Source organism: Homo sapiens, chromosome 9, assembly GCF_000001405.40.
Source record: "Homo sapiens chromosome 9, GRCh38.p14 Primary Assembly".
Lineage (NCBI taxonomy): Eukaryota > Metazoa > Chordata > Mammalia > Primates > Hominidae > Homo > Homo sapiens.
In genome coordinates this window covers 136,076,146-136,099,516 of record NC_000009.12, presented here as the reverse complement: position 1 = coordinate 136,099,516, position 23,371 = coordinate 136,076,146, and the positions used below count along the sequence as shown (strand labels likewise).

The 23,371-nt window shown below is 60.4% G+C and overlaps 1 protein-coding gene across 1 annotated transcript in view, besides 6 other annotated features; it reads left to right on the top strand.

Annotated features, from left to right (window-relative positions):
• Window positions 3,766-3,865: a silencer, noted in NCBI's record as "silent region_20496". NCBI's record gives its function as "represses an Ori minimal core promoter by ATAC-STARR-seq in GM12878 lymphoblastoid cells {active_cell/tissue: GM12878}" and the evidence as "EXISTENCE:reporter gene assay evidence [ECO:0000049][PMID:35858748]".
• Window positions 4,186-4,315: a silencer, noted in NCBI's record as "silent region_20495". NCBI's record gives its function as "represses an Ori minimal core promoter by ATAC-STARR-seq in GM12878 lymphoblastoid cells {active_cell/tissue: GM12878}" and the evidence as "EXISTENCE:reporter gene assay evidence [ECO:0000049][PMID:35858748]".
• NACC2 (NACC family member 2) overlaps window positions 4,228-23,371 on the top strand; it is an 88,753-nt gene continuing 69,609 nt past the window's right edge. The window contains exon 1 of the mRNA NM_144653.5: window positions 4,228-4,328. The gene's annotated coding sequence lies outside the window, so the exon portion shown is untranslated. The remainder of the gene's footprint in view (window positions 4,329-23,371) is intronic.
• Window positions 5,521-6,212: an enhancer, noted in NCBI's record as "H3K27ac-H3K4me1 hESC enhancer chr9:138985151-138985842 (GRCh37/hg19 assembly coordinates)". NCBI's record gives its function as "activates a minimal SCP1, AML or CMV promoter by ChIP-STARR-seq in primed H9 embryonic stem cells {active_cell/tissue: H9 hESC(primed)}" and the evidence as "EXISTENCE:reporter gene assay evidence [ECO:0000049][PMID:30033119]".
• Window positions 8,292-8,984: an enhancer, noted in NCBI's record as "H3K4me1 hESC enhancer chr9:138982379-138983071 (GRCh37/hg19 assembly coordinates)". NCBI's record gives its function as "activates a minimal SCP1, AML or CMV promoter by ChIP-STARR-seq in primed H9 embryonic stem cells {active_cell/tissue: H9 hESC(primed)}" and the evidence as "EXISTENCE:reporter gene assay evidence [ECO:0000049][PMID:30033119]".
• Window positions 11,613-12,572: an enhancer, noted in NCBI's record as "H3K27ac-H3K4me1 hESC enhancer chr9:138978791-138979750 (GRCh37/hg19 assembly coordinates)". NCBI's record gives its function as "activates a minimal SCP1, AML or CMV promoter by ChIP-STARR-seq in primed H9 embryonic stem cells {active_cell/tissue: H9 hESC(primed)}" and the evidence as "EXISTENCE:reporter gene assay evidence [ECO:0000049][PMID:30033119]".
• Window positions 18,017-18,778: an enhancer, noted in NCBI's record as "H3K4me1 hESC enhancer chr9:138972585-138973346 (GRCh37/hg19 assembly coordinates)". NCBI's record gives its function as "activates a minimal SCP1, AML or CMV promoter by ChIP-STARR-seq in primed H9 embryonic stem cells {active_cell/tissue: H9 hESC(primed)}" and the evidence as "EXISTENCE:reporter gene assay evidence [ECO:0000049][PMID:30033119]".

The following is a 23,371-nucleotide window of genomic DNA, read 5'->3' as shown; positions in this document are numbered from 1 at the left end:
TGGGTGGAGGTGAGGGTGCAGGCCCTGGCAGGCTCGGCTTCCTGTCACCCCCGACCCCTGAGGGTCCCCCACTCCCTCGTTTCCTCCTCAGCCCATCCGTCGAGTAGGATCAGCCTTCTCTGGCTGTCTCACTGGGCACACGTGTCTTCACGGGGCCTTTATCATCTGCTGCACATAAGCTACAAGGCCAGGGGCCTGGCCACGTCTTCTCTGTTGGGACTGGGGTGTCTGTGGGGGACCACGGAGGCTCCCAGTGAACAGGAAAGTCCTCCCCCACCAGCAAGCCCTGCCCCAGGAAGGCAGAGGACCGGACTGAAATCAGATGGTTTCTCTTGCCCCCCGTGAACTGCTCTTCAGACAATGAAAGCGGCTTCCTCCCGAGACAGCGGCACCACTGGCCGTTTCACCAAAGGCTGTTCTGCACCTCTCTTCTGTGTTGACAGGCGAGACGCAAGCGAGAGAGTGGGCAGAGAAGCCCTCTGGCTGTCCTCCTGCCGCAGGGGTGCAGAGGCGCACTCTGGCTCTGGGGAGCTGTCCCGGAAGCACAGCCGAGAGAGCCTGTGCTGGGCTGGTGAGAGGCTCCAGGTCCTCCTGGGGTCTTCTCAGCCCAACAGCCCTGGCCAAGGGCTGACCTGAACAGCAGCACCAGGGAGGCACCTGAGGCCCCCCGCCTGCTACTTCCCTTTCTGCTGACCGAGCTCCCCGGACACTCTGAGGACCGGGAAGAGGCATCAGAACTCGGGCAGGTGTGGGAGAGGGGGCACAGCATCCCCCAGCAGCCCCAGGAAACAGGGTGGAGACAGATGGAGCCTAGGCTCCAATTCTGAGACTCCTCAGGGCACCTGCTGTGTGCCAGGCACCACACTGAGCCAGTGATGAGACAGTGGACAAGGTGGGAGACCGTGCCGATGGAAGCCAAGGGCGGACCAGTGTCAGGATGGCGTCTGGGTGCCTGCTGCCGACGGCCATGTGGCTCTTTCATAAGGAAGGGTCAGGGAAGGCTTCCTGAGCCAGGGATATTGGGGTGGAGACTCAAAGAAAGTGACAGAGCAAGCCTTGGAGACACAGGGGCAGAAGGTTCAGGCAGTGGGAACAGCGGGTGCAAGGGCCCTGGGGCAGCAGGTACAGCAGAAGCCAGCCTCGCTACAGCTGAGCAGGCACTGGCGTGGACGAGGCTACCACGGGTGGGATGTGGGGTGGGGAAGGATGTGGGGCATGGGTGGGGTGGGGTATGAGGCGGGGGTGGTGAGCTGGGTCCTGGTCACCCAATCACCCGGGCTTGTGCTCTGAGCAAGAAGGACATTGGGGAGCTCTTGGGGGTTCTGAGCGGGTGGGGGTAATCCAACAGGTTTAGAAGCAGCCCTGTGCTGCTGTGTTGTGACAGGCTGGGGCAGGGCTGGAGGGGAGGCTAGGGACCGGGGTGGGGAAGGGGGCTGTGGCAATCACTGGAGAACAGGGCAGTTGTGGACCAGGAGGGTGGCTCCGACATGACTTTAACACAGAGCTGTTAGGATGGGCACAGACTGGATCTGGCGTGAGATTGGGGTGGGATGTCACCACCTGCACAATGGTAGCAGCACCTGGAGAGCCATCAAAGGCTTCTGCCATCCAGGGGAGGACACGCAGGTGTCCAGGCAAACAGGTTGGTCCTCTGTGTATGACTCCTGAGCGCACCCAGGGGCTCTGCAGTGTCTGCAGATGTGGCTTGTGACCTCCCCTTACCCCCTGCCCAATGCTTTCTGGATGGAAGGGGAAAAATCAAGTTGCAAGGCCGTGAGAACTCAGGCCTGGATCCCGGATGGGGCCTCCCTGAGCTGGAGACCCATAGCAGCGGTGCTGCTATGCTCAGTTGAGACTGTGGCCCCCAGGCCCTTGTAGCAGCCAGGAATCAACAAGATCAAATGCAGGGAGGAGATGCGGAGGATGCACCCGGGGTGAGCCCCACTCAGCCCAGGCCCTGCTGGGGACCCCTGAGTGAGCCCCAGGCTAAGCTGTAAAACGGGAATAAGGCTGGGCGCAGTGGCTCACACCTGTGATCCCAGCACTTCGGGAGGTTGAGGCAGGTGGATCACCTGAGGTCAGGAGTTCAAGACCAGCCTGCCTAACATGGTGAAACCCCGTCTCTACTAAAAATACAAAAATTAGCTGGGCGTGGTGGCACGTGCCGATAATGCCAGCTACTCGGGAGGCTGAGGCAGGAGAATCGCTTGAACCCGGGAGGCAGAGGTTACAGTGAGCTGAGATCGCGCCACTGCACCCCAGCCTGGGCAACAGTGTGAGACTCGGACTCAAAAAAAAAAAAAAAAAAAGGAATAAACAGAGCTCACCTCATGGTACTGTTGTGAACGTTAAATGCGGTAAGGTGTACATACTCAGTAGCACGGGCCTGGAATTCAGTAGGGATGCAGGGTTTGCTTTAAAAGGTGCAAATATATGTTGGTGTACATACGTATAGGCACACAGAAATTGGGGAATTGATTTCTGCTTATCCGCTATCTTCTAAACACTTTTCAATGCTTTCCAAATATCCTTCACTAAGGAAGAATGTCTTTAATATTTAGAAAATAAAAGTGATTAAAACAATCATTCCCATCCCTGGAGGGCCACGGGTCCTAGTGGGTAGCCCCTTGAGGCCTGCCCCAGGGCTGGAAGCAGCTCCAGGCATCTGTCTCTGGGATTCACGATTCTCAGGGGCTTGGGGTAGCTATGCTCACTGAGAGATCCTGCAGAGATTGTAAAGTCAGGCCTAGGAAGCACCAGAACCCTGAGGCTGCTGAGCTCATGCCCTGGGTGTAGGAGGCACTCAGAACCCTCCTACCCCACCTCCTTCCCACAGTAGACTGCGGGGCGGGTTTGGAAGTGGCAGTGGTGGGGGGAGGGGGGTTGGGGTGTGGGACCTGGGACTGCATTTAGGTCTAGATGGGACTCTGTGGGGAGAGCCCAGAGTCCCTGCGGGGTTCCATACTCACCCCCATACAAGGCAAGCCAGGGAGTGAAGTGTGTGTGTGTGTGTGTGTGTGTGTTCTGGACGCAGAGCTGAATAGAACCTAAAGTTGGGGTCAAGGGCCAGTCTGTGGCCAAGATCAAGGGCCTAGCTTGAGGTTGGGGTGACAAGAACCTGGCCAAGCTTCTGATGATTTGTCCAGGGAATGACCTTGGCTGACTGTGCCAGAAGGGCTGTAGCCCCAGGTTTCTGATCCCCAGAGCCCCAAAGGCGTTCTCTGGGATGCTGGTGGCCATCTCCTTCTCAACCCTTCTCCCAGCGCCCTCGCTCGGGACCACTGAGGCGGTATCACTCCATTCTCCTGCAAGGACCCTTGAGCGTGCTGTGGGAGTGAGGCTGGCTTAGCCTCTGAGGACCACTGCAGCCTGTCCTGACCTCAGGCCCCAGGTTAGGGGGCAGCTGAGGAGGGGTCTCTGGGTCTTTCCGGGTGTGTGGCCGTTTTATTTCCGTGCCCTTGTTTTAAAACTGCACCTCTGTCCTCAGGAGCGTGGCCTTGGGCAGATGGAGAGCTGCGTGGCCGGTGCCGGAATGACTGTCAACGCCCCAGTGCGCCCGGATCACACCAGGCCTGAAGGCAGCGCCAGGCCCAGTCCAGGCAGCTTGCAGTTCCCGGGCCGCAGGGACGGGCGCCGGAGCCCCGCAGACGTTCGCCCAAGGGCGCTCCCGTATCCTCGTCTTTCACGGCCCGCCTGAGCGTCCAGGGCGGCTGCGGATGCGCGCACTTCCCCCGCCCGGATCCCGGAGGCTGCACCGTGCGGACGCGACTGCCGCGGGCAGGGCGCGCGCCGGGGGCGGGGTAGGGGGGCCCGGGGGCTCTCCCGGGCTTAGCGAGTCCGGCCGAGGCCGGGGCCCGGGGAGGGCGGAGGGCGGCGCTCCAGGTCCTTTCCCGACCCGGCCGCCGAGCTCCGTCCTCTGCGCCGCGGCGTCCGGCTCCCGCCGGGTGTCCCGCGCAGGGTCGACCGCCGGCAGCTCCGGAAGGAGGACGCGCGAGGGGCGAGGAGCTGCCGCCTCCCCTCCCCAGCGCTCGGGGTTCCCCACGCCCCGCCGGCCCCCACTGGGGACCCTCCCGGCCCCCGGACCCCAGCCCCGACCCCGGGAGCCCACCTGGCTGCCAGTGCGCGCGCGCGCGCGGCCGGCGCGCTGTCCCTTTAACGGCCCGCGGGCACCTCCCCCGCCGCCGCCCCGCCCCCGCCGCGGTGCGGCCGCCGGTGCTGGGCGAGGTCGGAGAAAGTCCATGGGAGCCGGAGCGCCGGGACGCCAAGCACTTCCTGCCGCGGGCGGCGCGCCGCAGCTGCCCAGGCCGGACCGGGCCGGGCGCCCGCAGGTACCGCCAACTTGGCGCGCGCGGCCGCCCCCGGGTTACGCCGCCGGGCGGGGTCGTCCCACGGGCCGGGCCCGCACTTCCCGCAAACTCCGCGGCCGCCCAACTTGGCGCGAGCCCCCTGCCGCAGTGCCGGCCGCGCGGGGCGGGTGCGGCCGAGTTCCGCGCCGGCCCGGGCGTGCGCGCGGGAACCGGCCTCGGGAGCCCGCGGAGGGGGGCCGGGCGGGGCCGGGGGGTCCCGGCGGAGGCGCCCGCGACCCCGGGCCGGGACGCCGCGCCGCGCGTTCGGGGAGACCCCGGCTCCGGGCGTCCCGGGGCGCTCCCCGCCGCCTGCTGGGTTTCCCTGGATTTCTGGGGACCCGCGCGGCCTCCCCAGGGACCCGACTGGCCGATCCAGCCCTCCGGGTGGGGAAGCCGGGGCAGGACTGGCCCGGGGCCAGGGCGGAGGTACCCACCCCTCCCGGCGCATCTGCGCAGCTGCCTGGCCCAGCCGGGCCCGCGCCTCGCCCTCCCGGTCCAGGTGGGCCCGTTCGTGGGTCGTCACCGCCTCCCGCGCCTCCCCCACTCGGGCCCCAGCCTGGGGAGAAACTGGGGTCCGGCCGCAGGGGGAGGGGGCTCTGCCTCTTGCCAGCTTCTGTGCCTCTGCGGAGCTGAGGTCGGGGGGCCCCAGCTCCTTCTCTAAGAAACTCAGCGGAGCCCGGGGCCCGCCGCGCACCCCGCACGGCCAGGGCGGACCGAGGCCTTCCGACGGAGTTTCCTGCTTCTCTTGCTGGGATCGTGTGGGGTCGGAGGTCAGAGGTCACCTCCCAGCCCCTCTGCCAGGCTCTGGGGGAAGTTTGGTCTTGGACTCTCGTCGTGGAGCCGCTTAAACCTGTGGGTCTGAAGGCCGCGAGGCCGGGTCCCTGGAGTTGGCCTCCCAGGCCGTTCCACTCCCTCCCCCAACCCCCGCGCGGGGCCTCCGGATTGGAGGTGTTTCACCCACGTGCTGGTGGGCCCGTCTCCCTGGGCCGCTGGGTGCCCTGAGCTGTGTTCTCTGCTGCGCGTTCCTTCCTGTGTGTGGCGGGGGTGCTGACCCGGGGGTGCCCAAGGCAGCCCGGACTCCCATCCCGTGGAGCTGCCTCCGGGAGCGCGTGCACCTTGGTGTTCCCGCCCGCCAGCGCGGCCGCACTCTCCTGCCAGAGTCCGTGTCCCTCCAGGTCGCCCCTTCTTCTCACCCACCCCTCTTTTCGTCTGGCAGGCTCCTGACCTCCTTCCCTCCTGTTCTCCAGTGGGACACTCAGCTCAGCATTCTGCAGGGTGTTTTAGCCTGTAGCACCCCCCAGCAGGGGCGCCTAGAGTTAGGTCAGGGTTCAGGCAGCCCCCGCCCCACCCGCCACCTCTCAGCCACCCACCCCTTCTTCTCCCGGCCACCGTTGGAGCACCCCTCTGGTCCTCTGTGGGGCCTTTCCCAGCCCCTCCCTTAAAGAGGCCTCTTGGCGTTTTCCCCTGGGGTCACTGTTGGGTGGTAGCTGGGCCAGAGTCCAAGGGGAGGAAATAAAAGGAGCTGCCACCCAAGGTGGTGGCCCCCTGTCCTTTCGGCAAAGCCACTTGGAATGGGCACAGAGAGTGGAACAAGATATCACTTGTCACTTCTTAGTGGCCAGGGATCCTTTCGCAGTGGTCACACCCAGGGCTCGATGGTGCTGGCCCTGGCCTGGCGGGAAGGCGGGGAGGAGCCACCCGGGAGATCTCCTGCTGGGAGCAGTGGGAGCTGGGCTGCTACAGGCTGCGAGAACAGGCTCTGTTCTTTACCACCGGCTGCTGGAAGGGTTCGCAGGGCTGCTCTGCCCTGGGCAGGGGGCTAGTGGTGACTTTTAAAAAATTCTTCAATCCTCCCTTTGTTTTCCAATTAAAGCATGAGGCTGCATTATTCATGAAACAACAGTGACGATCTTGGTGCTGAGCGGTTCTTCCAGGCCTGCACTCCTCTTGGCCTCTGCCTCCGGAGTCCTGCTTTCCTGGTTTGTGGGCAGTGTGGTCTCCCAGGCCCGAGGGATGGAATGGGGAACCAAGGTGTTGTCCTTTTCGGGATGTTGAGTTCCCAAGGTTCCACCTTGTGCCCCTTCCTCTGAGGTCTGTGCCTCTGACCTGTGTCCCTGGAACGCACAGGGCACCGAGTGCCCAGTGGCCCCAGCCACCGTCAGTGGGGCAGAGCCCATGTTCCTTCCTCAGCCAGCCCTGTTCTAGCCACCTCCACACACTGTCCCCAGGCTGCCTCTCTGCATCTCACAGCCCCTTGGGGTCACTCCATCCCCTTTGCAGGGTCACGCAGTGGGTTCCGAGATCCAGTTGGACTGTGGCCGGTGGGATGAGGGTCGGAGTCCACAGGGGGGCAGCAGGTGGCACCCCTTACCCCAGGATACACCAGCATGTTTCTCCGGAGAACCAAGGCCTTCTACAGACCCCAGTGTAACGAACACATTTGGGAACTTGACTATGGGGCCCCCTGACTCTGCTGCTCCTCCGGCCCAGTCCACCTTCACCTTGGTAGCACATGTCCCTGCCTCAGTGGCCCAGGCTGACCAGCCTCCCATTGTGGTTCTGAGGACAAGGTAGGCCACCTTCCACTTCAGGGTGACATTTCTGGCCTGGGCTGAGGAAACCTGGGGCTGGGCTTCCAGGCGTGGCTCGAAGGAGAAGCAAAGCCCTGTGGTGTGAGGCCGTGGAGCGCCCTCCAAGGCAGGAGAGAAGTAGCGCTAGCCCGTCTGGACGCTGGACCTGAGCCGCCGTCTGATGCATGTGGGCAGGTGCGGGAGTTTGTGAGGTCTGACTGGGTCTGGTCTCACTGGGGGCTGATGAGGGGTCTTGGGAACCTGTGTAGAGCTGGCTCACTGGGGCCTCTCACCCCATCTCCGGTCAGGCTCCCCGGCGGTGAGTGTCTGCAGACCCAGCTCCCTGGGTCCTGGGCCTTCCCCGAAGTGCCCTCTCCCCAGCATTTCGTTCCTTTCCTGGCACCCTCTCTGGGCACGCCCTTGGTCCTCCCAGAGGTGGGCAGTCGGGCCTTGGGTGGGGGAGCTTGGCCAGCGTTTCTCTACTCTTGTCTCCCCACTGGGCCCCAGTTCAGAGCTGTGTGTGGCCCCCACACCGGCCTCCCTGAGGCGCCCCCTAATCCCCAGGTGGATCTCGTTTCCCTTTCAGCCTGTCCAGAGTCACAGAGGAGATGTGACTGGAAGGTTGTTTGGGCCTTGGCTGTGGGGGCCGGGGAGCGAGGTTACCCAGGCCAGGGGCTGCTGCTCCACGCCTGCCTCCGCCTCTGTTGCGGGGCAGGGATCCTGGTGACCTCTGTTTTTTTGTTTGTTGTTGTTGTTGGTTTTTTTTTTAAGCAAATCCTTGCTCTCACCAGCCCTGGCTCTTGGTGAGATGAGATCATTTGTAAAATATGCCTCCTGGCTGGCTGGGGCTCCTTACTGTGTCACCTGCAGCTGCCCATTTGCTGGGAGCCCTAGCTCCCTCAGCTGTGGCCTTCCTGCGTTTGCTGTTTACGGTTTGGGTTTTGGAAGCACACACCCTTGTATAGGGTCTCAGCAGAGCGCAGTGGGCAGGCGTGAAGGCATCTGTCTGGAAGTATTGGTTGCTTGTCATTTGGGGACATGAACTCCGGGACCGGCACTCACCCCTGTCCACACAGGGGATCAGCCTGGGAGCTAGTCTGAGTAGGGGAGGGCATTTGGGACCCTGACCCAGGGCTCCTGGGGCCCCACCACATCCCCAGTGTCTGCTTGCTGGGCCTGGGTCCTCACTGGAGCACTTGGCAGCCAGAACCCTGGGCTCAGGTCTCCTGGGAGAACGCCCAGCCCAGGCTGTGTGACCTTGAGTGAGGAACCCGTCCTCCCTGAGGCCGTCCTGCTACAGAGTAGCATCCTCTGCCTCCTCCGAGGAGCTGGAGGCTGAATGTGGGCAGCCCGGCCTTTCTGCCTTCATGCCGGCTGGGGCTGGCCTGGGGGCTGTTGGGCCAGTGAAGCCACTGAATCCCATGTAAGGCTCACTACCCTTTAAGAGGAGGCCGCCATGGAGTCTCCCGGGAGAACAAGAGGCAGGCTTTTCTCCAGAGGTTGTTTGCAGGGACCCACAGGGAGGAGAGGCTGGCTCCGGGTCTCTCTAAAGGAATCTCCCCTCCCCCAGTGCGGGGCCCTGGCATCCAGGAGGGCACAGGGCCATGGGCGGCCGCGAGCTCCTGGGCCCGCCCAGCTCCTGCCCCTGTGCCTGGGAAGCAGGCAGGGCTGGGGGCGGGGAACAGAGGGGCCTGAAAGTGCCCATATATAGTCACTGGGGTGAACGGCAAAGCCATGCTGCAGAGATGCCTCCCAAGCCCAGGGCTGGCCGGCCCCAGCTCAGCCACCGGGGCCCCGAGGGCAGCCCGGCCCTGGGCTGGGGGTGGCCTCCCTGGTAGTCTGTGAAGGGGTAGAGCATCAGCCTCCGCATAGTCATGCCTCAAGAAATGTTTGTTGATTGAAAATAAAAGTCCCCCCAGCCCTCCATAGTCAGGCTTGAGGACATTTCAGGAGCTGATGTTGGAATCTGGAGGCTGGAATCCGGGCTGTGCTGTTGGCCAGAGCTGCCTGGGGTCCCTCATGGAGGGCGTTGGGAGCTGGGTGCCTGCTGAGGGAAGACTTGCTAGCAACCCAGCCCCCACCCCACAAAATGCTAGTGCCCCCCTCTTTACAGGGACACTTCAGATGCTCCCTCCCCACCCCTACTGTCCTGGGGCTTCCGCCCAGTGGGCTGGTGTTTTCTGGAGGAGTTACCTTCTCACTCCTGGGCACTGCCTAGAGTCAGGGGGCAGCTGTGGGCCTTCCTTGGTTCTTCTGCGGCGGTCTTGGAGGGAGTCAGCGTTGGCCCTGCCTTTGGATCGGAGCAGAAGGAAGTTGTCCCACATCTTCCTCCTCCCAGGGACCCCTGAGGCATCCCCTCTGGCCAGGGCCCCCACCCAGGCCCTGGGCATCTGCCTCGGGGGCTGTGCCCATCTCCCTTCTACCACCCAGCTGGTGTCTGTGCCAAGAAAGGGGAAGTACCATCTTTGCTGAATTCTTGACTTTTGTGCTGTTAAAAAATCAGCTTTAACAGAGTTTTGCTCATTTAATTTCATTTCCATTGCACAGCTAAGCGCCTTTGTTAAATTTTGTATATTGATACTTTTTGTTGTCAGCAGTTTATTCTTTTTTTTTTTGGATATAAATCCATTAGGGTGAGAGAAGATTAAAAAGATACATTACAATTAAAATGTTAATGAAATCCGTATCACACAACTTTTGAAACCCTTTAGGCATTAATCTTGCCTGTGTCATGTCCATTAACTTTGGCTATTCTTATTCCACACTGACCCCTGCTGAGAGATTTGTGCTATAATTGGATTTTTTTTTAATAAAAAAGAAAAAAAAAAAGCTTTTAAGAAAATAGAGGTTGAGTGGTCGGCCGTGGCTCCTAAATGAAGAGGGAAAGTAGAAGAACATGACTCACTCTGTTGGGGCTGGGGTCCCCCATTCTGAATGGGGACAGGGGTCACCCAGGGCCTCCCCCAACTGTGGATGTGCCAAGTGGTGTAGAGGTACATGAGTTGGGGGAGCCTCAGAGGAGGGAGGGCACCCCGAGGGTGGGTTCACCTTCTTGGGGAGAGGCCCCCAGCGCTGGGGGAGGGGCTAACAGGAGCCCCCCACCAGGTGGGGTTGTGGGGGGTGACATGGAGGCTCAGGCAGAGCAGAACCTGAAGGGCCTTGAGTTCTCTGAAGTCTGTACCCCCTACCCTTCGCCTGGAAGTCAGGCCTTCGCGGGTGCTAGGTTTCTAGCAAGGGGGGTGGCTGTGGGGAGGGGGAGCCCCCTTGTCTCCCTCCTAGGGCCGTGGGGACCTCAGGAAGACGTGGCCCGTGGGTCCTCCTTTGAGGCCCTGGGCCCTGGCCAGAGCCTGGCTCAGATCTGGGTGGGGTCCCCAGCTGGGAGGGTCCCCTGGCAGGGGGAGGCTCTGGGTGGGGGCCCGGGGGTAGCCTGTGGCTGCCGCCCCGCTGGTTCTCCCGGGCTGCAGTGCTGCAAACGTAACCGCGTAACTGAAAGCTGGTCAGGTGGTTGGCAGCGGGGCTGCAACAGACAGATTTCGTGTCTGTGTGTTTTTGCAACACCTTTCTATAAAGGGAAACATAATTTAAAATATGATTACTTAGTGTTGTAACAGCCGCCTCAGCCGCTCCACGCGATGCCGAGATCATTATCAGAGGCTGATATTAACTTGCAAAGAATATTATGCAAATTGCCTGCTGTCTCCTCCGGGAAACCTTCCCCCAGGATGCCGGGGGCTGGGCTGGCTCCCCTCGGGGCTTGGGGTAGGTCCCTTTGTGGGACAGCCCAGCCCTTGTGCTTTCTGCCCATCCCGCCCTCCACGCCCAGGCCTGAGCCCTCATCTGTGGCCAGGGGACCCTAGGAGGCATGAAGCAGTGGGTCAGGAAAGACCAAGTCCTTTGCCTCCCTGTGTCTCAGTGACCCCAGACCACGATGCCTCCTGGCCGGCTGGGTGGGGGCCTCAATGAGGCCATCGTGGTTGGGATGGCAGTGAAGCCCCTGCTGATGGTTAACCATGGCTGACTGCGGTGGTCACCGGACCTGGGTCCCCACGAGCCCCAAGTGCCCCCGAGAAAGAGTCCCTGGCCACGGACTGGGCCATGTCCATGCGCAGTGGCTCGTCCTGCTGACTGACCACTGTGGCTTTGCAGCTTCCAGGGGCTCAGGGGCAGCTGCTGGGAAAGATGTGGACGGTGGCTTGGATCCAGCATTGCTGTGTGGACTCAAATTTTTGCCCTAGGGGAGAGAGGCAGGGAGTGGGGTCTGAGGGTCCCTCCCACCCTGCTGAGTACAGTGTGTCCCCTGCCCCCGTCATCCCTTCCATCTGGGCCTGATGTGGGCAGTGGTACAGTTCCCAGATTGAAGATTCTCCCCAGAGGCTCCGTCCCACTGGAAGGGAGCCGGACAGAGCACGTTTAGAGCAAAATTCCGCTGACCCTGCACAGCCAAGGGGCTGCTGATGCTCTCTCTGAACCACTGTCCACCTGGCGACCGTACAAGCCCGACAGTCCCCGAATACTGCTGACCTCCGTGCATGAGATGACAGCCACTGGGGGTGCCCGTCTTCCAGGTCACCTCTGGAACTTCTCAGCAGAGTCCCCAGGTCACCTCCCGGAACTTCCCAGCAGAGTCCCCAGGTCACCTCCCGGAACTTCCCAGCAGAGTCCCCGGGGTGGGAAACTGGGCCTTCCTGGGCCACGGCCGGCCTTGGGCAGCAGACAAGGGACGGGGAGGGCTTGCCCTCCCTCGAGCAGCTCAGACCGGGGAGGACAGGGCGCTTGGGGCCTCGTTGGGGATCTTGCCGGTGCCGTCCTGGGCTGTCCTCAGCTGAGCAGCCACTTCCAGGGTTGGAGAGCAAGTGTTCTCTTGGGATTCGAGCCTCATTTCCCCCCGTGCTGCGGTGGAAGCTGGGCAAACACCATGGCCTCCCTGGGTCTCAGTTTTCCCGCTGTGAGCTCCGAATGGGGTACCGTATCCTGCTTTCTGGTCACCAGGAAGGTCTAGGGCCAGCCCAAGGCAGACCCAGAGAGGGCTCCCAGGCGGCCCCAGAAGCTGCGGGGCCCTTCCCCAGCCGGGCCCTGCGAGGACTGGCTCTGTCGCCCTCCCTTCCAGTGGGGCTGGCCCGACCCCTGCGAATGCCGCTCTGGGGGTCCCCGTGGGAGTCTGCCAGCTCCAGGAGGGCAGGGTGTCTATTTGCAGCTGTGCAGGTGACAGGCCAGGAGGAGGGAAGGGGCTTTTCCAGCACCCTGGGGTGTGTTGGAGGGGGGCAGGGTATCCATCTCCTGGGGCCACCACGACAGAGCCCACAGGTTTGGTGGCAGGAAGCCTCAGAGAGTGCTCCTGTCCCAGTTCTGCAGGCCCGGAGTTGACACTCTGTGCATCTTCAGGGCTGGTTCCTCCAGAGGCTTTGAGGGAGACTTTGTCACATGCCGCCCTCCAGCTCCCAAGGCTGCCACTGTCCTGGGCCTTTCTTGGCATGTGGGATCATGGGCCCAGTCTCTGCCTCCGTCCTCACACGGCCACCTTCCTTCTGTGCATCTGTGTCCAAACTTCTCCCTTCTGTAAGGATGCATGTTAGGGTCCACCCTAAATCCGGGATATCTCATCTTACCTTTCACTAATGATATCTGTAAAGACCCTGTTTCCAAATAAGGCCGCATTCAAAGGGTCAGGTAGATGCGAACCCCCGGTGTGGTGTGGGAGGGGCAGAAAGCCTTTAGTGCGTAGAGGGCACTGGGGGGCTGGCTCTGCACTTGCCCAGGACAGTGGGAGGAGCCAGGCACAGACAGCAGCCGCTGCTGGGATGGCACCTGGATGGGCGTGAAACCAGTGCAGCTGGCCAGCTCCAGGCCCAAGCTGAGCGGGGGTCGTGGGAGGGAAACGGGGCCACTGGTCGGGGAGGGTTTTCCTAGGAGTCGGCGTTGTCATCTGCGGTTATGTAAGTTTGGGAACAGGATTCGTGTTAATTATTGTAACCCAGTTTAGGCGGTGAGTCCATGTCATAGGAAGTGGCCTGGAAATGACAGCGTGTGGGTCACAGTGGAGCCCGGGGTGGGACCGTGGCTGGGTGCTGGCAGGCAGATGGCTGTCGGGAAGCTGGGGGCATGCGACGTCCCTGGGGCCCACACCAAGCCAGACCTCAGGGAAGCCCAGCCGCTCGCAGACCTGGGACCTCAAGAGCCAGGCCCGGTGCCATCCAGACCAGCAGCTGCCCCAGGGCTCAGCCCTAGGCCTCACCAGGCTCCTGATGATGCAGGAAAACAGAGGCACCCCCACCCCCCAAACCCCTCCCAGCTCTGAGTGGGAGGCCTCGGGGGGCATGTGCCCTTCGTCCTGTCCCCAGCTGCACGGTGTGAGGGTTCTCTCACAGGAAGGCAGGCACTGCGCTTTGCTGCTCTGAAGGCCCATGGAGGGTCCTGGCCACATTCAGGGAGTGGCTTCTGAAGGTTTTTAGAATGTCCAACAAGGGTCCCCAGGGGTGACTTGGTTTTCTCCAGCCCGAGGTGAAGGGCCTGGAGGCGGCTCCTGCCCGTCGGAGCTGCCCTGCGTGGCGCCCGGACTCCGGGCTCTGCCAACCCCTCCCATCGGAGCTGCCCTGCGCGGTGCCCAGTCTCTGGGCTCTGCCAACCCCTCCCATCAGAGCCGTTCTGTGCAGTGCCCAGCCTCCGGGCTCTGCCAGCCCCTCCCATTGGAGCTGCCCTGCACGGCGCCCGGCCTCTGGGCTCTGCCAACCCCTTGTTTCCACAGTGAGTTCAGGATTGTGGAGGGACCTACCCCACCTGGCTACCCAGCATTGGCAGGTGGGGACTTTGCTTCAGATGTTTAAGAAAAAAGGTAAAAGATAAAGTAATTAAACTTACAGAAAAATGTCAAGTATTGTACAAAGAACATTTTCCCGAACGATTTGAGGTAAACCTCCCCTGCATACCTGTGTGTCTTGTTCCAGTGTGGGCAGAGGGCTGCCCGCCACCCGCCTGTACCCACCCCCTGGCAGCCGCCTCCCAGGCCCCTCCTGGCCTTACACCAGCAGATCCAGTGCAGACCCCTCAGTACAGTTACTTGTTGAGTCTCTTTAAATTTAATTAAAAACTTTTTTTTTTTTTGAGAGTCTTGCTCTGTCGCCCAGGCTGGAGTGCAGTGGTGCAATCGCAGCCTCAAACTCGGGCTCAGGTGATCTCCCCGCCTCAGCCTCTGGAGTAGCTGGGACTATAGGTGTGGATCCCCACACATGGCTGATTTAAAAAAAATTTTTGTGCACCACCACATCTGGCTAATTAAAAAAATTTTTTTGGGTCGGGCACAGTGGTTCACACCTGTAATCCCAGCTACACAGGAGGCTGAGGCACAAGAATCACTTGAACCCTGGAGGCGGAGGTTGCAGTGAGCTGAGATGGCACCACTGCACTCCAGCCTGGGCGACAAGAGCGAAACTCAGTCTCGCCAAAAAAAAAAAAAAAAAAAAAAAAAATTGTAGAAATGGAGTCTTCCTATGTTGCCCAGGCTATAAATTCAAATTTTAAAAACTTTCTGATTAATTATACATAAAATTTACCGTTTTAGCTTTTTCAGTGGAATGAAGCATGCACATTTTTGCGCTGCCCTCAGCACCATCTCTAGAACTGTTTCATCTGCCCAAACTGAACCCCTTTCCCCATTAGACACAAACTCCCCATCCTTGCCCCAGCCCCTGGCAGGCACCTTTCTACTTCCTGTCTCTGTAGGCCTGCTTCCGGGACTGCATGTGAGTGGAGTCCCACAGGGGGTGTCCTCGTGTGACTGGCTCATTTGCTCCGCACCCTCTCCCCACGGCTCCTCCGGGTTGCAGGGAGTGGCGGAGCCCGTCCCTTCTCCAGGCTGCGTGATGTATGTGTGTGTGTGCGCCCGCCGCCATTTCCTTTGACTGTCACCCATTGGCGGACCCTGGGGCCACTTGCCTCTTGGCTGTCTGGTGCTGCCGCTATGGACGTGGCGTGCGCGTCTGTTTGAGTCTTGCTGTGTCTCTGGGCTCTTCCAGCCTGGTGTATTCTGTGGCCTTTCCATGGCCTTCGTGACCCTGACTCCGGGGTCTGGGCCAGTTTGACAGATTTGATAGATGGACCCTCGAGGTAGGTTTGTCTGTGGCCTCCTGGTGATTGGCGTCTTGGGCAGGGACGTCAGAGATACCGCCTTCTTGGACGTTGCCCCACCAGCGGAGACCGGACATTGCGTAGGAGGTGTCTGTGTGATGGATGAGTCTCGGAAGCAGCCCTCCAGCAACCCGCCTTTGGTGAAGGCCCCAGGTGTGCATGGGGACAGGGCTGGACACAGGAGGGGCTGGGGCATGCAGTAGGGGAGGGGTTGGCTACCCAGGACCAGGTCTGGGTGTGGAGGTCTTTGACCTGGGAGCGGGGAGGCTGCAGGTTGGTGAGTGGGTGTTGAGGGTCTCATCGGAACCCACTGCTCCTGGAAAGACGGGTCCCCTCCTGGCTGGATCCATGTCCCTCAGTTGTCCCTGGAGCCACTGAGTGAGGGACACCCTCAGCGAGCACCACCTTCCCTACCTCCCCGCTCTTCCTCAGGCTGTGGGGCTGTAGAGGAACTAGGAGATGGGGTTGTGGCCAGGTCTTGGGTCTCCCCACCCAGTGATGCGGGAGAAGTTGGGGTGAGGCGGAGAGGCTTTCTCAGCTTTGACTGCATCTGTCTCTGGGCCCCAGAGCTGCCTGGGCCAGCCAGGTTCTTGGTGGACATCGTCTGTCTGAGAAGATCTGCCCTCAACCCAGCCAGGCCGGGGGTCCCCTCAGCAGCGGTCGAGATGAATGTCGTGGGCGGCCGGAACGTGCCACCACTAACAGGTGGAGAGGTGGGGAGGCCTGAAACAGCAGGAATTTCTTCTTGCACAGCGGTGGAGGCCAAAAGCCCCAGGCCACAGTGTCTCGGGGCCCCCGCCTGCCTCCGCAGCGTGGTGCCAGCCGCCTGTGGTGCCCTGGGCTCATGCCCGTCTCGTGCCAGTCTCGGCCTGGCCTCTGCACGGCGCTCTTCACAGGTGTCCGCGTTTTCCCTTCTCAGAAGACACCTCTGGACCTGCCCTAAATCTGGGAAGCTCTCATGTGAACTTGATCTTACATCTGCAAAGACCCTAGTTCCAAATACAGTCACATTCGAGTTTGGGGTGCATGTGGATTTTGGAGAGATGCTATTCCTAGTACAGGGGTGAAGGCCAAAGTGTCCACCTGCCCCACTCCCTCTTCTCTGTGGCTGCCTCCCCCCCAACCCAGCCTGGGAAGGAAGGGAGGGCGGTGCTGCCTCCCTGAGCAAGGAGATGACCTCCGCGTGCCTAGGCTCAGGTTGGGGTGAAGCATTGACTGTACCTGGACTCAGGAGAGCAGCTCCCCAGGGGCTCTGACCCCCACCAGCTCCCCTGAGCCCTGTGGCCACTGGCTCTTCTGTTGGGAGCGTGTGATGTCAACAGCCTCCGCTCCAGCAGGGTGGCCCCGTTTCTGGCATCGAGGAAGAGGGCCCTCAGGTTTCTGTTGCGGTGCCAGAAAGGTTCTGCCGTGTGAAGTGCTCGGTCGTCAGGAGATCAATCTGGTCGCTTTCATGTGAGTGTAGATGTCTAATGGGGCAGAAGTTATGACAGCCGTAAAACACGGCGTCTTCCCCCTCGCCCTGATATCTGGCAGGAGTGAGGCAGGCAGCACAAAATCCTAGGCGTAGAGAGGGCCATGCACGGTGGGAAATGAGCAGAAATACACTCAGCTGCTTATGGAAGATGGTGTCTGTCTTTCCTTCTGGGGAGAGGGAGGGCAGTCAACACCCAGAGAACGGGGCGTCTGTGGGATCCGCTGGCCAAGAGCCAGCCCCACCCGCCGGGGAGAGGGGGCTGTGATCTGATGGTGCACACGCTGGATTGAGGGCTGCGCCCCTGTTGGGGTTGGGTGCTGGCAGGAGGGGTGCTTCTTGGGAGGCAGGTCCGTGGAGGCAGCGCGGGCCTGGCGGGTGGAGGGTCTCCATCAGCTCAGCAGCACCTGCTAAGACGCCTCGGCTCTACCTGGTTTTGTTTGTCGGGCTCCGAGGGCCAGACCCAGTGCTTCATGGATGGTGACCCCGTTGAGATGAGGGCCACTGTCAGCTCCGCCCTGCACACACCTGCCCAGACCTCTCACAGGTGAGGGCCACCATCAGCTCGGCCCTGTGCACACCTGCCCAGACCTCTCACAGGCATGGTGGGGAGGCAGGTGAACCTGAGCATCCCGGAGGCCCATCCGCCGGCTCAGCACGTGGCACAGGCGGGGCAGAGCCCGGACTTGGCCTTGGGGTGGCCTCTGCTTCCCAAGCCTGTGTGGGACCTGAGGCTCCCCGCCCCCTTCCATCAGGCCGTGGCGTGGCCACACCGATGGTCCTGAGGGTGAAGACCCTGGGGAGACGGGCAGAGGGGGCATCCCTCAGCCCCACCTCTCCCTTCTGCTGGGAGTCCTGGGCGGTCACCTGCTTTAGTGATGAGCTGACCCAGGGCCCCGGCAGGTCGTGTTCAGGTGGAGAGTCTTTGGAGAATGGCTGGTGCCCCCATTTTGTGAAAGGAGAAATGGGCCCAGTGAGGTTGGAGGCCCTGGCCAGGGCAGATTGGCCTTTGCTGCAGCCTGGCTCTCGCGTCAGCTCCACCCTGATCTCTGAGTTCTGCAGGAGCCCTGGGGTTTCGGGGTGCTGCTGCAGGTGGGCTGGACTGCGAGAAGCGGTGCAAAGACAGCAGGGGTCCGGTGGGCGGGGGTGGGGGCTGGCTGCCCTCCCCGCCTTGCCCTCAGCCTGGTGTTGCCTGGTTACCTGGGCCAGGTGCCATCCAGGTAGAGGGAGCTTGGTCAGGGGCCAGCTGCTGCCGCCACTTGGTGGGGATGGTGCCCCAGGGCCCGAGCCAGGAGGGGCTGTGTGTGTTCCTGGCCTGGGGGCCGCAGCTGCCCTCCCTGGGCCCTTGGGTTTTCCCAGAGGCTTCAGCTCATCCTCACTTTAAGTGTGCTTTCGTAATAATTACACCAAAACCCAGCAGCTGAGAGGCCTTTGCAGAGATTCGGCAGCTGTGATTACAGCCACTGATTTCCAAGAAACGTCACGAGGGAATTCTGTTACAGCCCGAGGTGGAAGCGGACGCCCGGCACCGCCTTCCTGGGCACCCCGCGCTCAGAGAGCAGGTCCGAGTGCTGAGTTCCCAGCTGGGAGGACGCGTGGAGGATGGGAACCATGGCTGTGAGCGGGTGGGGCTGGGCCATGGGGAGCCCAGCGGGTGGCTGGCTTCATCTTGGTTGGGGGTGTGTGGTGTGCAGGTCGTTCCGGTTACTCTACAGTTCAAGCCCAGGCATGCTGACCCCTGCCCTGTCCTGCGGAGCCCCCAGTGCCCGTCGGGACTGAGTCCACCTGGTTCCTTCCCCTGGGTTTCCAGCGGCCTGGGTGGCTGGAGAGTCCCCGAGTGGCCACTGAGGGTCCGTTTGGTCTGGGCTTCCTCCTCTGGGAATGGTTTCCTGTGTTACGAGAAATATGGGAAACGCGCGTTTCTTCTCCCCGCAGCCGTTCGTGATCCGTGACCCTGGGCCCGTGGGGTTCTGGGATGAAAACTTCCTCCTCCATCACCTCTGTTAATCAGAATGTGCTTGGGGTGGGAGACAGCGGGAGGGGCTGCCACCTTGGACCTGTCCCAGGCCTGTGTCCCCCCGACCTACTCGAGCGGCTGGGGCTTGGCACCCTAGCACGCAGGGGCGGCTCTGCTGGGGGCCTGATGCAGCTGGCTGGAGTTTGCGCCGGGCACAGGCCGGCCTGTGGTCATCTGCCGTCTGCTCTCCCTGCATCCTCTGCAGTGACTCCGCTGGGGTCTGGGTGTGTGTCACGGCCCCCCGTCTCCACGTGTCTGGAGAGGAGGAGACCCCCAGCTAACCCACACTCCACGACCTCCAAATCAGATAAGCAAGAGCTCCGTGGAGTGTCCTTCCTGGGCTGATTCTGTGCGGTCTGTGGGGTGGGGGATGGTGTGCTGGCAGTAGCGTTGGAGTTTTTTTATTGGAGCAGGGTAGTGGGGAGATGGAGTTTCGCTGTTGTTACCCAGGCTGGAGTGCAGTGGCACGATCTCAGCACACAACCTCTGCCTCCCAGGTTGAAGCAATTCTCCTGTCTCAGCCTCCCGAGTAGCTGGGATTGCAGGCGTGCGCCACCACGCCCAGCTAATTTTGTATTTTTAATAGAGACGTTTTTAATACCCCACTGCAGTGGGCTGCTGGGCGGATTTTCCTAGAACCTGGGTTGGGTTTTGGATGCCCTGAGAGGTGGCATCCCATGTAGGGGCAGCGAAGGGGCCTGGGCTCAGAGAAGGAGAGCACAGAGATGGGTGCGGGGGCCCTGCTGGGATGAGGCTGTACAGGCTGGGGGTGCAGTACCGCTCTGGCACCATCCCTGGTGTGGCGTGGCTACAGGGCCCTGCCAGGAGGCCCTTGTGGTCAAACCGTTGGCTTTTGTGGGGCACAGTGGCATGGGCTTTGGCTGGCAGCCACGCCCGGGGTAGGGACTGTGTGTCTCTGCCAGCTGGGCCATGACTACAGTGGGTGGCCAAGGGTGTGGGCTATCAGGTCAGCCCCAGGCCTGGCCCAGGCAGCCCCATGGCCAGCAGAGCCCATCTGTAGCTCTCCAGGAGGGCCGCCTCTCCCTGGGGAACAGCTCCAAAAGCTTTCCTTGGGGAACAGGTGGCAGGGCTAGCGGCTCCTTCCACAGCACGGCTGTGGCCTGGCCCCTGGGGCCTTGGGGTCCTGGAAAGTTGAGACTTCCCCGGCTGCTGCCTGTCCTGGTGGCCTGAAATCTTACAGGCTTCAAGATTTCGTAACTTTCCTATTCCTAGTCGCAGAATGGGTAGTGGGAGGCCTGAGACCCATCTGGCTTCTGCAGCCACGCTCCAGGGCTCTGGTGACCCTGGAGTGCATTCGGGGAGTGCCGGCCACGGCAGGGCCCCAGGAAGGAGCTCTGGGGGGCCTCTGGCCTCTCTTCTGCCCTCGGTTGAGGGCCAAGTGGCCTTTCCACTCAGTGAGTCAGCCTGTTCCTTCGTGTCATTCTCAGCAGGCCATGGGGTGCCCATGCCTGCGGGTGAGGAGGGGCTTGCTGCCCCACCTGCTGGCGTCCAGCCTGTACAGCCTGGGGCCTGTCTGGAGATCCTGGTTCCTTGGCTGCACCTGCAGGGCCCCCGGAGTCCACGCATTGGCTTCTGCAGTTGGCATCCTGTGCTTGTAGGAGTGTCTCCTGCCTGGAAGCCAGAGGATGGCACCCCGTTCCATCAGGCCTGAAGGTGGCTGGGTGCCAGGCAGCCCTTCCTGGGTGTGGGACTCTGGGCAAGTGCCCTGCCTCTCCCTGGTCTCCCCCTCAGCTCAGAGAGTGCAGTTCCCACCCTGGGAGGATGTCTGCACCTTGCAGCCTCTTCAGCCCTTAGCCCTCTTGGCAAGAGCTCAAGCTTTCTCTTGTTAAGGACGGGACGCACAGACATACGTGAGTAGATTTCAGGTTACGTGCCCTAAACTAATACCGTGTGCACTTAAAAAAAAAAAAAAGAAGAAGCTATGATTGAAGTCAAATTAACATATTTACCTTCAGTGCTCCCTCGGGAACCGTTAGGGAATCGGAGAGGGGCGGCGGCGGCGCGGCATCATGCCGGCGACGGTGCTAAGGGCATCTGCTCCCCGTGGGGATGGGTGTGTGCTCCTGAGTTTGCCTTGGCTTCCCCTGCTTACCCACAAGGTCGCCTGGACAAGGGGCGAGAGGCCCTGCCCTGAGAGCCTCAGTTCCTGGAGGGGACCACGCTGGGGGTGCTTACTGGGGACCAGGATGCGGCGGTGGCTGTGGTGCCACACTCGTGATGACAGCCCTGCCTGAGGGGCTCGCTTTGCTCAGCTCTGATGTGGCTGAGATTCAGGTGCCTGACCTGTCCCCCAGCCATTCCCACGCCCCTTTCTGTCCCGATGTCGGGGCTGGGCTGGCCCCTCTTGCCTCGCACAGGTTTATGGCCTAGGAGTACATTCCCCTGGAGTCCCGTCTATGCATCCAGGTACGGTTCCAGGGCCAGTGAGCGGGCCACGTCCCACCTCCAAGCCTCAGTTTTCTCATCTGTACAGTAGGGTAATGGTATTTCTCCTGCGCTTACTTTAAGGATTAAATGGAAAAACCTGTATTAAGGATTGCCATTTAAAGATTAAATGGAAAAGCCTGGGCCTTTAGTTCCTGAAATGAGAGAGCCAGAATTATTTGGAGAACCTGCCCCCAGATGTGCCTGTCCCCCTCATGAATTCTGCATTCCGAGGGACTGAGCTTCGTGGAATTCTGGCGTCTTCTGGCCTGCAGGCGAGTGGGGCTGGCCACAAGGTTGCGGGGGGTGGGGGTCCTGGGGACCCCTGCCAGGTGGTGGGTATGCACCCGGCCTTGGGGATGAGGGTTTGAGTGGGTGCCTGGTCCATCCCACTCTCTACCACTGTGTCTGTAAACTCGTGCATGGATTGTTTAAAGATAGTACGGCAAACCTCGTGATTATAAAAGTATGATTGGGCCGGACGCGGTGGCTCATGCCTATAATCCCAGCACTTTGGGAGGCCGAGGCGGGTGGATCACGAGGTCAGGAGTTTGAGACCAGCCTGGCTAACATGGTGAAACCCCGTCTCTACTAAAAAGAAGTACAAAAAAACCCAAAACAAAACTATGATTGGACTGATATTATTTACGTGGTTTTCACTCCCAAAGGCACACCTTTGCGTATAAAGCACAAGTCAGTATTCATCACTGATTCCTTATTCACTTTTCAAACTACTTTCACTTACCTTTTATTACTTTATAAATAATTTTAAGCACAATTTTGTTGCCCCCTTGCCTGCTCCCCGGTGTGGGGGTGGCCAGAGTCCTTGGGGTCCCCTCGCATTTCCCGGGTGACCACACAGCTGCCCCCTGCTCAGGTGTCACCGCCTGGGGACCTTCTCCTCTGTGAAGGGCCTGTTCTGGGCTCTTGCCCCTCCCTCCTCTGTGCGTTTCCCTTTTCTTGATGGATTTGTAGAATTTGTAGAATTCTTTCCATACTCTGACCACACGCCCTTTGCTGAAGATACATATGTTGCAAAGGTCTGTCCTTCTCGGCTTGTTTTTTCTCTTAGTGTTGGTCTTTATTTTTCAATATTTTAATGAAGCACGACTTATCAACAATGTCCTTTGTGCCCTGTTAGGGTTTTTGTTGTTTGTTTGTTTGTTTTGCCAAAGGCCATGTTTCTCTTCTGCTTTTTTTGTTTTGTTTTGTTTTTTGAGACGGAGTCTTGCTCTGTCGCCCAGGCTGGAGTGCAATGGCGCAATCTTGGCTCACTGCAACCTCCACCTCCGGGTTCAAGCAATTCTCCTGCCTCAGCCTCCCAAGTGGCTGGGACTACAGGCGCCCGCCACCACGCCCAGCTAATTTTTGTTTGTTTTTTTCTCTGTCACCCAGGCTGGAGTGTAGTGGCGCAATCTCGGCTCACTGCAACCTCCACCTCCGGGTTCAAGCGATTCTCCTGCCTCAGCCTCCCAAGTGGCTGGGACTACAGGCGCCCGCCACCACACCCGGCTATTTTATTTATTTATTTATTTATTTTTGAGACAGAGTCTCGCTCTGTCGCCCAGGCTGGAGTGCAGTGGCGCGATCTCGGCTCACTGCAGGCCCTGCCTCCTGGGTTCACGCCATTCTCCGCCTAGTCCCAAGTAGCTGGGACTACAGGCGCCCGCCACCACGCCCGGCTAATTTTTTTTGTATTTTTAGTAGAGAAGGGGTTTCACCGTGTTAGCCAGGATGGTCTCGATCTCCTGACCTCATGATCCACCCACCTCAGCCTCCCAAAGTGCTGAGATTACAGGCATGAGCCACCACCAGGCCAATACATTTTTTAAAAATTGTAGTCAAATATACACAACATGAAATTCACCATTTTAACCATTTTTTAAGCGCACAGTTCAGTGGCAGTAAGAACATTCCCATGGCTGTCAACCCTCACCTCTGTTTGCAGAACGTTTTCATCATCCCTGACCGAAACTGCACCCATTGAACACCAACTCCCCTCCGCAGTCCCCCAGCCCCTGGAAACCTCCGTTCTGCTTCCTGTCTCTGAACTGTCCTGCTCTGTGCCCGCGTGTGAGTGGAACCCCGTGGCGTTGTCTGTGTGTGCCTGGTGGCTTTCACTCGGCATAGTGTCTTTGAGGTTCACCGGGCTGGGGGGTGCATCAGAATTTCATTTCATTTTTGTCGTGGTATGGGCAGGAAACCTGGCTCAGAGAACATTTGAGGAACTGGGTGTTTAGAGTCACTGAGGAGAGGAGGCTGGATAGATTGTTGGGTTAGTTACAGCACTTCTTCGAGTTCCGCAGGGCCGGGAAACGCTGCCCCTTGGGGTTCTCTTTGCTACTGGATGGAAATCATTTGCTTTTCTTTTGGTTGCATATAGGAGACTTAGGATGTCACG